The sequence below is a fragment of the Homo sapiens genome, chromosome 13 (genome assembly GCF_000001405.40).
Source record: "Homo sapiens chromosome 13, GRCh38.p14 Primary Assembly".
Taxonomy (NCBI): Eukaryota; Metazoa; Chordata; class Mammalia; order Primates; family Hominidae; genus Homo; species Homo sapiens.
Window position 1 is genome coordinate 26,792,774 of NC_000013.11, and position 13,427 is coordinate 26,806,200.

The following is a 13,427-nucleotide window of genomic DNA, read 5'->3' on the forward strand; positions in this document are numbered from 1 at the left end:
GCTCCGCCTCCCGGGTTCACGCCATTCTCCTGCTTCAGCCTCCCGAGTAGCTGGGGCTACAGGCATCTGTCACCATGCCTGGCTAATTTTTGTATTTTTAGTAGAGACAGGGTTTCACCGTGTTAGCCAGGATGGTCTCAATCTCCTGACCTTGTGATCCGCCCACCTCGGCCTCCCAAAGTACTGGGATTATAGGCGTGAGCCGAATAGGCATCTCATAATTATTTTTGTATAAATGACATTGATGGGGTTCAGGACACCTTACTCCAAAATATGGTATGATGGCATTGAGGAAACAGCAGAAGCAGGAGGGTTGCTCTTAGACCTTCTCCTGTCCTTCTCCCCTAAAGCAGGCCATAAAAGAATTCTCTGACCTTTCTCTCATCCAAGAGGTGGACCTCCCAATACACAGAGAAAAAGAACATCCTTACTTCTGAAGACACAGGGATACAGAAAAGACTCTGAACAAACAAGCCTTCCAAAATTCCCCCAGCGTATTGCCTTTATTCAAGGTCACACCCCTTTATTCAATCACACTTCTCCATGATTGTCCACTCTTCATCAAACCTATGCATAAAAATACACAGGTTTCCCTGTGTCTTTGGGTCTCCATTTCCTTATGAAGACTCCCATGTCACATAAAACGTATATTAAATGAATCCGAATGTTTTTTCTCTTGTTAATCTTTCTCTTTTTTCAATAGATGCCTCAGCCATGAACCTTGCAATGGGTGAAGAAAAGATATTACATTTTCTCCCCCCACAACATCATCTAGACTAGTCTAATCGCTTTCAAATAAGAAAATGAAGTACAGTTGTCCCTTGGAGTATCCATAGGGGATTGGTTCCAGGACCCCTTACAGATAACAAGATCCAAGGATGCTCAAGTCCCTGAGATAAAATGGCATGTTATTTGCATATGACCTTCACACATCCTCCATATACTTTCAATCAGCTCGAGATCACTTATAATACCTAATGCAATGTAAATGTCATGTAAACAGGTGCTTACTGTTTTGTCTTTAATTTATATCTTTTATGTTGTATTGGTTTTGTTTTTTGTTTTTTGAGACAAAGTTTCACTCTCGTCACCCAGGCTGGAGTGCAATGACGATGATCTCGGCTCACTGCAATCTCCACCTCTCGGGTTCAAACGATTCTCCTGCGTCAGCCTCCCTAGTAGCTGGGATTACAGATGCATGCCACCAGGCCCGGCTAATTTTTGTATTTCAGTAGACAGGGTTTCACCATGTTGGCCAGGCTGGTCTCGAACTTCCAACCTCAGGTGATCCGCCCACCTTGGCCTCCCAAAGTTCTGGGATTACAGGTGTGAGCCACTACGCCTGGCCTGTATTGGTATTCTTTATTGTTGTTTTTTCTCACATACTTTCAATCTGTGGTTGGTTGAATCTGAAGATGTGGAGCCCATGGATACAGAAGGCCGACTGTGCAAGGAGGGGCGGTTTCTCAACCATGGTCACACAGCTGGTTTGTCACAAGGTTGAGATGAGAGTCGAAGCTCTTGAGGGCCATCCCCAGGCCTTCCTACCGGGTCAGGTGATAGTTATTTCCAGGCTGTCTTTAAGGTATTGCTGTTTAAAGGAAGACTGAATATAAAGAGATATAAACCATCTCTAATGAGGGTTCAAATAAATATTTATGATGTGGATATTAGCCCTAAAACTAGCCCTACAGATATGAAACAAAATGTCATTCAGGATTAGTAACTTGCATGTGTGTTTAAAAATGCAGAATGGACTGGGCACAGTGGCTCATGCCTGTAATCCCAGCACTTTGGGAGGCTGAGGCAGGCGGATCATGAGGTCAGGAGATAGAGGCCATCCTGGCCAACATGGTGGAACCCTGTCTCTACTAAAAACACAAAAATTATATGGGCATGGTGGTGCGTGCCTATAATCCCAGTTACTTGGGAGGCTGAGGCAGGAGAATTGCTTGAACCAGAGAGTCAGAGGTTGCAGTGAGCCGAGATTGCACCACTGCACTCCAGCCTGGTGACAGAGCAAGACTCTGTCTCACAAAAAAAAAAAAAAAAAAAAAAAATGCAGACTGTCCTCTTGGCCAAATGGTGAATTTGAGGAGTATGAGGGGTGTGTGTTCACTTATGCATTCTTCACTTGCCTACATTCACTGAATGCCTATGACATGCCAGGCATGTGTTATGTGTCTATAGTCTACCGGTAGAAGGTGGACATGGGGCAGATAAGTGAAGTATGCATGGGGGGGTGTTATGAGCTGTAAGCACAGAAGGGAGCACTTGGCACTTGGTGATTGTTTGTGAATAGATAAAATCAGGTGGATAATTGGAATGGCTTCCTGAAGGGCTTAGAGCCCCCTCAGAGATGGGGAGGACAGGTGCAAGCCGCTACCTGGTGAAGCGGGAGACAGGTGAGAAGTATGCCCTAGGCAAGGGCAGAACACACAGTGCCTGAAAAGTATTTTGGGGCTCAGGTTAGTGCTTGAAAATAGTGTTCAGAACACATCAGCCCAAAACATGCCACTTTGTCATCTTGATTATTTTGAGCTAAAATAAATTAAGAACCACCAGTGCAAGAGAAGTGCTTTACCCTCAACTGCTGAAAATAAAGTATATGTTCTCCCTTCTGTAAAGGACGTGTAGGTCTAGAAAGGCAATTTTCATTAGTAAGGGTATATGTACCAGGAAAGAGACAATGTTTATCACCTGACAGACTTCTGTCCTCATGACCAGGCAACCTTTATTCGCCATAAGTTTCCTCACCTTGCCCTCCCCTAATTTGCCTCCACCACCTCCCAGAGGCCCCAAGCCCCTTCCCTTCCGTAGCTCAGGATGCTACACAAGCCTCGACCATCCAGCCTCTTTTTTGAGTCTCATATTTTTGTGGGACTCCCATGCCTAGCTACATAATCAAAATGTTTTTTCTCTTGTTAATCTGTCCTATGTCGATTTAATTTGTAGACCAACCAAAGAACTAGAAGGGTAGAAGGAAGCAATATTTCCTCCTCTACAGAGACAGGGATACAGGGAGAGGGAGAGTGGGGACTTCTGAGGCTGGACATGTAGGTAGAGGCCAGAACAAAAAAGGCCATAACACTATCACAGGCCCTTTGTAGCTCAGGCTGAGGTCTGGTGGCTGTCGCTCTGTTCTGCACACGAACATTCTAGTGCTACAGGGTATTCCGTGTGTGTGTGTGTGTGTGTGTGTGTGTGTGTGTGTGTGTGTGTGCAGGTGGAGAGGACTCAGGAGAATAATGGTACTGTTCCAGCACTGTTTTACGATTCCTAATAACCAAATTCTCCTAAGCAAAGGCTGGTATGTAGATGATAGTGTCACACTGCAAGAAACATTTGATTAAGTTATTGAGTGATCAAATGATCTTGATGCACTCACTTCATCTGCCAACCTTTGTCATGCTTGAATATAATTCAAAGGGATAAAAAACAGGCCCTTTTCTGGTAGTCTTTGCATGATTTTCATACTCTTAAAATGTTTCTGTAGACATCCAAAACATTTCCCCTTTGCTTTAGATAGCTTCTTTCTAAAAAAGAAAGTACCTGTTTAGAAACTATTCTAAATGGAAGCTTATTTATGGCTGAATTCATTGTAAGCCTCGGTCTTTCTATGGCAAATGAGGTCATGTCTGTTCCTAAAATCTAATGTTTCCAACTGCTCTGCTTAAGCCAGAAAGTCTGTGCTCTGGGTGGATGATGGATTTCTTCACGTGTCACATGGTCCTGAGCATATACTATCTTCTGTACCACTCATGCCTATTGTATTGTGGTTTTGTTTTTATTTTCCCAGATCCGTGTGTGTGATATAAGGTTATTTAATAATTCTGGATGCCTGGTGCCATGGCTCACGCCTGTAATCCCAATGCTTTGAAAGGCCAAAGCGGGAGGATCACTTGAGCCTTGGAGTTCAAGACCAGCCTGGGCAAAATAGCAAAAACTCACCTCTACAAAAAATTTAAAAATTAGCAGGCTGTGGTGGTATCCACCTGTGCTCACAGTTACTTGGGAGGCTAAGGTGGGAGGATCACTTGAATGCAGGAGTTCAAGGTTACAGTGAGTTATGATTGCACCACTGCACTCTAGCCTGGGTGACAGGGCGAGACTCTGTCTCACCAAAAACAAACAAATGAAAGCAAAAAAAAAAAAAAGAAAACCTGGAAAGTTTAATTTTAAATTGGAATGAAACTTTTGGACATTGGTTTCACAGTTTTGACAAAGGTTACCTACATCCTCATGTTGACTATCGTTAGTTCTTTGGATAGATTTTTTTTTAAGTTCTGAATATAAGTTTTCTGGATTTATCTTTTCCTTTAATAACTAAATAAAATTACATGCTGCCCTCCCTTCCAGTCAGGGAAGTCGGTGCCTATCTTGGTGCTTTGAGGCTTTCCTGGGCAAAAGCGTTTCCAGGGCAGTAAGAGTGTCACCTCTGGCCCATCTGCTGGTTTGCTGGCTGATTCTTCTAGCCCTGTTGCCCTAAAATGTGAAAATTGCTTTTGGACTTCTGCTTTTAACAAAGTGACTTCAAGTTTTATGAAAGGCTTAGAGAGTTTGGAGTTAAAGGAAAATCATAATAAATAAACTAGTGGTCAAACAAACAAACAAAACAAACCGGGAAAAACACAACCAGGAAACTGCTAAAAACCTCAGCCACTCTTCCCGTTGGGAGCTGGCTGTTTCAGCCATAGCAATCTCTCCCGTGACCTGACCTGATCAAGGTTTTCTCCTTTACTTCAGACACCTTTCCCCCTTGTCTTTCCAAAGGGTCAGAGCCCCCACCCCCTTCTATCTCAGGGGACAACTGAATATCCCTGTTAACTGGCAGCCATCAGGGAGCTAGCAGGAAACAGGTGGAGAACAAAAGGGTTTGAGTGAACAAAGTTGGACGAACGGGCTCTTTCCGGGGGCGAAGGGAAGCAGCAGGGATGGTGAAGCAGGAATTAGCAATGGCGGAAGGATGGAATCACTCCTGGGCCTGACCAACGTTGCCAGAGCCTGGGGAGGGCTGAAGGGTAGAAGAGAGGGCCCCAGGGTAGAAGAGAGGGCCCCATCAGGAGCTGGGGCTCTAGAGAAATGCAGCCAACACTGGATCCTTGGGGGCCGGCAGGGATTGGGGATTGGAGGTAGTGTGCGATAAATACATTCACCGCTCTCTCCTTGCCTCTGCTTTTCTCCTGCAGGTGTCTCCCATTGACTGAACCCAACTGGAAGCCACAAGGCGGGGAAGCCTGGGTAGTACCCTCCCCAGAGGTCAGCTTCCATGGGCACAGAACGAGCAGTGGGGAGGAGCATTATAAGGGCAGGGAGGTGCCAATAATAACCAGCACATTTGTTAGAGAGAGAAATTTTACCTCCGTCTTTGTTTGAACCTCTCTCATTCAGATTAGTTTTATATTTGTGGTCTTTGCATAATCAAAATTCCGTCAAGTATTTTTCCCCCAAACTAAAGAGCAGCTCTCTCCCTAAGAGAAATTCTGCCATTTGCCCACAGCAACTGGCTCAGACTATACTAATGTCAAAAAATGTGTTCTTTCATGCTTCATAAGGCTACTACTCATCTACTGAATCCTTTATCTGTGTGTATTTTTTAAATGATCTTGTTGAAAACCACACACACACACACACACACACAATCTTAGCTGTCCAACACCCAACTCACAGTGTTCTCTAGCTCACTGAGAACCACCTCTCATTGTCTTTGCTCATTAATATAGAGGAGGAGAAAGAAGAGAAGAAGATGTGGTGCTGATGATCATGGTTCATAAACCGTTAAGTGTTTGGTGGTGGTATTTGCTGTCCCACTCTCTGAAGAGGCTCCGTTCTCCCCCATCTCCATGGGGTCACAAAGGTACCTGCTGCCAGGCAAGGCAGCATGTACACCCCAGGACCCACTTTTGCTATAAAAAAGGTTGGTGGGTATTCAAAGAGAGGTAAAGGATAGTTGTCATGTACTTATGGAATTATGGGCTTCCTTAATCCCAGCAGAAGAATTAAAGTAAGATTGGAAAGGAAGGTAGGCAATTGCCTGTGACTTTTTTCTTTTGGTCAAGAATAAGTACTTGCTGATTGTTCTCTTCCAGTGGCTTTTTAGGACATGTCACTAAGACCAGGCCAGTGTTTTACATTAGTTTCCTTCCTCTGTCAAGACAGAGGTGGCTAGACGTTGTACTAGGCAGTATGACCTCTGCGGGCTTGGTGACTGCTATCTAAGACGAGACAGAAGATGGAGAAAAAGCAGTAAAAACATGCCGCGTGTAACCACCTTCCCTCTCTGTGTCAACAGCTCAATTGCTTGGTAATGATACTTGCTGAATCTCCACCAGAAGATGGTGAGACAAAATGATATAACATACTTCTGGCTGGGTGCAGTGGCTCACGCCTGTAATCCCAGCACTTTGAGAGGCCAAGGCAGGTAGATTACTTGAGGCCAGGAGTTTGAGACAAGCCTGGCCAACATGGTGAAACCCCATTTCTACTAAAAATACAAAAGTTAGCCGGGTGTGGTGGCAAGCACCTGTAGTCCTAGCTACTTGGGAGGCTGTGGCAGGAGAATCACTTGAACCCAGAAGGCAGAGGTTGCAGTGAGCCGAGAACATGACACTGCACTCCAGCCTGGGTGACAGAGCGAGACTGTCTAAAACAAAAAAGAATTTACTTCCTAAGAGAGGCAAGGGACTATCTAGAAATGCTGTGGCTTTTTCTCCTATAGCACTTGTATGACCTGCTGCGTTCATTTGGCACATTGCGGGTTATTTATTTTCTGGTATCTCAGTTTCCTCATCTATGAAATAGCAATGTTTCACTGGTTTTTGTGAAGTTTAAATGAGTTAATAAATGCAAAGCACTTCAAACAGTACTATTACTATTTGTGTTAGTCAGAATAGTTGAGCTACTTAATTCTTTTACTTAATATGTAAAATTTATTTTTCACTCATACAAAGTCTTCTGGAGTCCAGTGACTCTCCAAGGCAGCTCCCTTCCATGTGGAGACTCAGGGATCCAGGCAGGTTCCATCTTGTGGCTTTGCCATTTCATGAGAGGGAAAGATGAGTGAATGTCCTCAGACTCAGGGGAAACATCTGAGGCAGCATTCATCCCAGGATGTGTGCCCCCATTTCCACGTTCCATTAATCTGTAAGAAATGGAAATGTAGCCTACACATCCTTGGGCTTGACATGATCGAACAGTAGGACCTGGGAGCTCAGCTCTCTTGGTAGATATTTAGTGCTCTTGCACAGAAAGAACCATGGTATGTAGATTCTGGACAGTAGGAACCTTGTTTTCAGTTCCAGTTCCAAGCAGGGAAAGAATAGGTCTTATCTTTCACCCTCTAGCCTTTCTGTCACTGTAACAGGAAGCACCAATCCAGAAGGCAGGCAGAACTGCTGATCATGGCAGAAGGAGCATGGGCCCAGACACAGGGCACACAGATGCAAGATACTGAGGCATGGCAGGCTGGTGCACCTCTAGTCTTTGGAAGCTCACATTCAGGCAAAGCAAAGCCTTCCCTAGAAATCAGTCAGAATAGGCACAGCACTTCCAGATTTTACTGTAAGCAGGAATATGAGCAATGGCCAAGGCTAATCATCAGGTCACAGAATCTAGAAGCAGATATCTTGGCACAAGAACACCTAGAGACACCAAATAAGCAATTCAGACTAGGCCATGACCATCTATTAGCCATAGAGATAACTGAGTATCAGAGAAGGAACTGGAAGTGTATTGAGCATTTGTAATGCGCTGCAAGTGCCTTCCATGTAAAAACTCCCTTAATCCTCACAATTTACAAGTTAGGTACTATTTTTATTCATCACTGAGACAGAAGTTACCCAGCTTGCCCTCAGTCTGGAGCAAATTTTGATATGACACACATGTTCTAAAGACTGACTCAGCCAGTCTCAAGGAGTCCTTCCACCATCTTGGTCAGCAAAGCAAGGCACAAGGCCTTCTAGGCACAGTTACTGAGTGGGCTGGGGATGGAGAGGCCCTGCAGGAATATTTGAGAGCAGCTTTTGGCCCAGAGAATTTCACTAGTAGTTTTTCCCAACTGATACACCAAATAGAGGTACAAATTATTAACATTATTATATACAGAATGTAGTGCAAGTTAATGGTGCACATTATAGCTGTTCTCCACCCCTGAAGAAAACCTTAAGACTTTTATAGACAGAAACATTTCCATTCAACTGGACCCTAAATCTCTCCCTCACTGTCCTACATATGGTATTCTTATAGGTGCTCGATAGCTCAGGGAACACGCATTACAACAACTCCCTCAGACCAGGATAAACTAGCATATTACCACTCCAATGCATGTGGGGGCCTGTGCAGTATTGCTTCTCCCTAAAAGTCTCATTTTCTAAGAATAAATCAGAGAGCAATTTAGGTCCAGGGAAGAAGGCTATTAAATGCCACCTAATCCCTCCTCAGACTGCGGGTGCAGGGGTCTGGCTAACAGCAGCCTGTGTTTGTCAGGAGTTTTGGGTTAGTCTGGGCCTGTGTGGCCGTTTATAGAGCACGCCGCCAGGTACCTATTTATGTGACAGAACAAGGGGTCTCCTGGGACAGAGCAAGCCCAAGGGAAGGACCCTGAGCTCAAGGATGATGATAGCTCGTGGCAGCTGGAGGCACAGCAGGGCCCCAAGCCTCAGGTGTCCTCCTGCCTGGCTCCATGAACCTGTTCCACTCTGAGCTCTGGGAGGGATGTGAGCAAAACCAAGGAGAACAGCCTTCTCCCAAATCATGGTGAATTGGGGGCACTGGTACAGTGAGAAGGAGTCTCCCTGAATTGGCAAAGATCCATCTGATTTGATGCCCTGAGGACTCCAGCAGATTCCATGAGCAGCGTCAGCAATGCCAGAGGGTTTGGGCTTACAGCAGTGGGCTCAGCGGTCAGCACAGGGTTGACCTGGTGGGCATGGGCAAGAGCCGGAGTAGGCAGTGGCAGTTTGGGCTGTGATGGGAGATGTTTTTCTGTGACTTTGTGGGGGCTTTTGTTGGCTTTTTGGCACATGTTTGACATCAGGGGTCTCAGCTGCAGGGGCCTTCCCTGTGAGAGGAGAAAAATAATGAGTGGAGGGTGGGGAGGGAAGCCAAAGTATGATATTTATTCTATTATACCCCAGAGCTGGGTCTAAATCCACAGGCTGAAGGAACATTCTTTTCTCCCCTGGCTCCAAGCAGGAGCAGAAACCCCACAACATGGAGCTACAAGGGGCCTATGAAATCTTCCTTGGCAACCCCTACCACAATAATTAGGGTAAGAATAAGACATGCAGATGCCCTGTGTAAGGCAATAATTTAGCATACTTGGGCAGGGTCATTTATCATCCCTTCCAGCCAATATTCTTCAAGCACATGTTCAATGTCTATCTGAGGGAGACCAAGCTGTTGGTGTTGGATGGGACAATTCTTCCTCATGCTGATTTTCCTGCACATTGCAGGTGTCCAGCATCCCTGCCCACTGCCCACTGCATGCTAGTAGCTCCCTTCATCTCATGCTTCCAACGCCTCCTGGGGAGGCAGGATCCCCTTGCTGAGAACTGGCCCCACACTTGCCTGCGTCCCTGGGTGAACAAGGCCTTTGCCAACAGCCAGACCTCCCCCTTAGAAAGAATCTTCTCAAACATCTGAGAACATCAGGGTATACTTTTTGGGGGTTGTTGTCCCCCAGATTGACTTATCAAAACTCTACTATCAGCCACATCTAATACATGCTTGAGAGGTTGTAGCAAATAAAAATTTGTGTATCTCATTACATTTAGTACAGCCCCATTGAGTCTGGCTGCCTGGCTAGCCCACCCTGGAATATAGCTCTGGGGGCATTTCTACCCTATCAGTGCTTTCTGTTTTATAACCAGTGCTTTCTGGTTTATTTTCTATGCATTTAATCCTGCTTACAGATTTCCCAATCCATAGCCTTTTACTCAGTTTTTGGTTGAGGACCAAACTTACTACTTTTAAGGGCAGTGCATTCTTAAAGTCATCTCTTTATTCTTTGTTCTCAGCTCATTTATCAGGTAAGTATAAAAGAGTTTACTCAAAGTTCCAATTAGTGAAGCCATTGAATATTTGATTTTATACGAGTATACTAATTTGATACCTTTTTCTGCATCTCCTGAACCAGTAGATTCCGAAAACATGTCTGTAAAATGAACAGCAGCTCTTATATCTCTCAATGCTCATCCCCCCTGGTGGCTCCCGATACCCACGTGATAGAAGTCAGAATTCTCTAGCTTCATATTCAAGCCATTCATGATCAGACTTCACCTTCTTTTTCATCATTCTGTTCAAGAGTTACTCCCATGCACTTGATACCCTACCTACACTGAAAATGATGAGCACACCAGGAGCTGTGGCTTTTTCAGGATCACAAGAAAAACCTCTAGAGACAGATACCCAATTATCTGGTAGAATCCCAAGTGACTGTGTGGACTTTCTGATACCTGTGGGAAAACACAATGTGATGGGATATCTCCAGCCCAGCTCATACAGCTAAACACTGATGAGTGCAGCAGGCACCAAACCCAATGCACAGTTCAAAATCGTCCACAGTCTCCTTGTTGTTCAGCCGCCCCCTCTATAACCACAGCAGCCTAGGTCTGATAATAAACTGAGAGGACCCTCCACAAGAAAGTGAAGGCATTACACGTCGATATTTGTTCCTAGGTTCTTGTGTAGTTGTCTCATTCTTCTCCCCTCGGCTTCTTGATCTGTGGTCCTTGGAAGCCACATCTGAATAAGGGCATGGAAACTTCCATATCATCTGACCATGACGGAGTTACAGGATTCCCTCTAGCCTTAAACAACTAGAAAACTGGGCAATGTGTATGACAAAAGAGCTTTCATTCATTCATTGGGAAGTAAATGAGGCAAACTCTACAATTCCCTCAGTTTACTGCATGGAGAGAGTTTCCAGGCTGAAGCTCAGGGACAGGGAGTCTAGATAGGGCTGGTGGTTTGGCTGAGTGGAGGAGAAAGAATTCAGAGTTCAGGGAGGTCAGAGTGGTTGGAATTTCCAGGGTAAAATACTGGGGAGGAGGGAGCTTCACAGAGAGAAAGAGAGAGCTCCAGAGATCTGCAGAGGGGTCCCCTTGAGATTACGGATGAGAACAAATCTGTGTGTGCGTAAAAGGAAACTCCCTGAGGCCAGGAAAAGAGCAACCAGAAAGGAGCAGGCAGAACAGTCCCTGGAGATCACACAGGGCTGGGAATGATTTGTGCTGCCACCCACTAGGGTGGAAAGACCTCATAACACAAGCAGTATTGAGCAGAGGTTTCAGAGGTGGTAGCCTCAGTAATGGGACCACATTAGCCCTAGATCTGCCTCAAATAAAAGCAAGCCTTGGAAGGATTAAATTGCTGCTCAGAACAAAACCTAACAATATACAAAGGAATACAATAGAATCCAGCAACCAAAAGCATAAAATTTACACTGCTCAGCATCCAGTTAAAAATTACCAGGAATGTAAAGAAGCAGGCAATATAACCTATCACTAGGAGAAAAAAATTAATAATCTAAGTAGATTTTTTTTTTGAGATGGAGTTTCACTCTTGTTGCCCAGGCTGGAGTGCAATGGTGCAATCTCGGCTTACTGCAACTTCAGCCTCCTGGGTTCAAGTGATTCTCCTGCCTCAGCCTCCTGAGTAGCTGGGATTACAGGCACAAGCCACCATGCCAAGCTAATTTTGTGTTTTTAGTGGAGACCAGTTTTCTCCATGTTGGTCAGGCTGGTCTCAAATTCCTGACCTCAGGTGATCCACCCACCTCGGCCTCCCAAAGTGCTGGGATTACAGGTGTGAGCCACTGCACCTGGCCTAAATAGATTTTTAAAAAGATACAAATGGTAGAAGTAGCACACAGGGATGTTAAAGCAGCTATTATGAACATACTCCTTATCTTCAAGAAGATAAAGGAAAGCATAAACATGATGAACAACATGGAACATAAAAGCCCCCAATCTAATTCTGAGGGATAAAAAATATTATATCTTAAATGAAAAATTCAGTTGATGAGAATAACAGCAGATTAAACATTGCAAAAGAAAAGACCAATGAACTAACTTGAAGATACAACAGTAGAAACATTTAAAAGGAAACAGAAATGGAAAAGATTGTAAAAAATTGAGAAAAGCACCAATGAGCTGTGAGCTAATATCAAACAAGCAATCTAACAGATGTATAATTAGAGCTCTGATGGGGGAAAAAGCAGAGCAAGGGAGACAGAAAAATATATTTGAAGAAATGGCCAAAAAAAGTCCAAATTTGATGAAAACTATAAACCCATAGATACAAAAATCTCAACACACCCCAAGCACAAAAAATATCTTACAAATTACACCAAAGCACATCATAGTCAAATTGCTCAAAACAAATGATAGAGTGAAAATCTTTAAAGCAGCAGAAAAAAGACATTAACACAAAGGGAAATAAGGACTGCAAATTTCTCATAAGAAACTATGCAAATCAGAAGACCATTCCATCACATTATTAAAATACTGAAAGAGAAAGCTATTAATATAAAATCTATAGTCAAAAAAAAAACTTCAAAAAATGAAGGCAAAATAAAGACTTTTTCAGACAACTAGAAATTGAGAGAATTAATTACCAGAAGACTAGCATTATGAGGAATGTTAAAGGAAGTTTTTGGTGTTTTTTTTGGGGGGGGGTAGAAGAGAAATGCTGCTGGATGGGAATTGGATGTTGCACAAAAGAATGTTGAGCAGTGAAAATGACAAAAATGTGGGTATGTGGAAAATACATTTTCCCTTCACTTTTTCAAATATCTTTTTATTTTATTTTTTTTAATTTAAATTTATTTCTTAAATTTATTTCTATTAAATTTTCTTGTAACCATGTACAACTAAGTTGTTCTACTTTAATTTTTTTTTTTTTTTTTTTTTTTTTTTATTGATCATTCTTGGGTGTTTCTCGCAGAGGGGGATTTGGCAGAGTCATAGGACAATAGTGGAGGGAAGGTCAGCAGATAAACAAGTGAACAAAGGTCTCTGGTTTTCCTAGGCAGAGGACCCTGCGGCCTTCTGCAGCGTTTGTGTCCCTAGGTACTTGAGATTAGGGAGTGGTGATGACTCTTAACCAGCATGCTGCCTTCAAGCATCTGTTTAACAAAGCACATCTTGCACCGCCCTTAATCCATTTAACCCTGAGTGGACACAGCACATGTTTCAGAGAGCACAGGGTTGGGGGTAAGGTCATAGATCAGCAGGATCCCAAGGCAGAAGAATTTTTCTTAGTACAGAACAAAATGAAAAGTCTCCCATGTCTACTTCTTTCTACACAAACAGCAACCATCCGATTTCTCAATCTTTTCCCCACCTTTCCCCCTTTTCTATTCCACTAAACCGCCATTGTCATCATGGCCCGTTCTCAATGAGCTGTTGCGTACACCTCCCAGACGG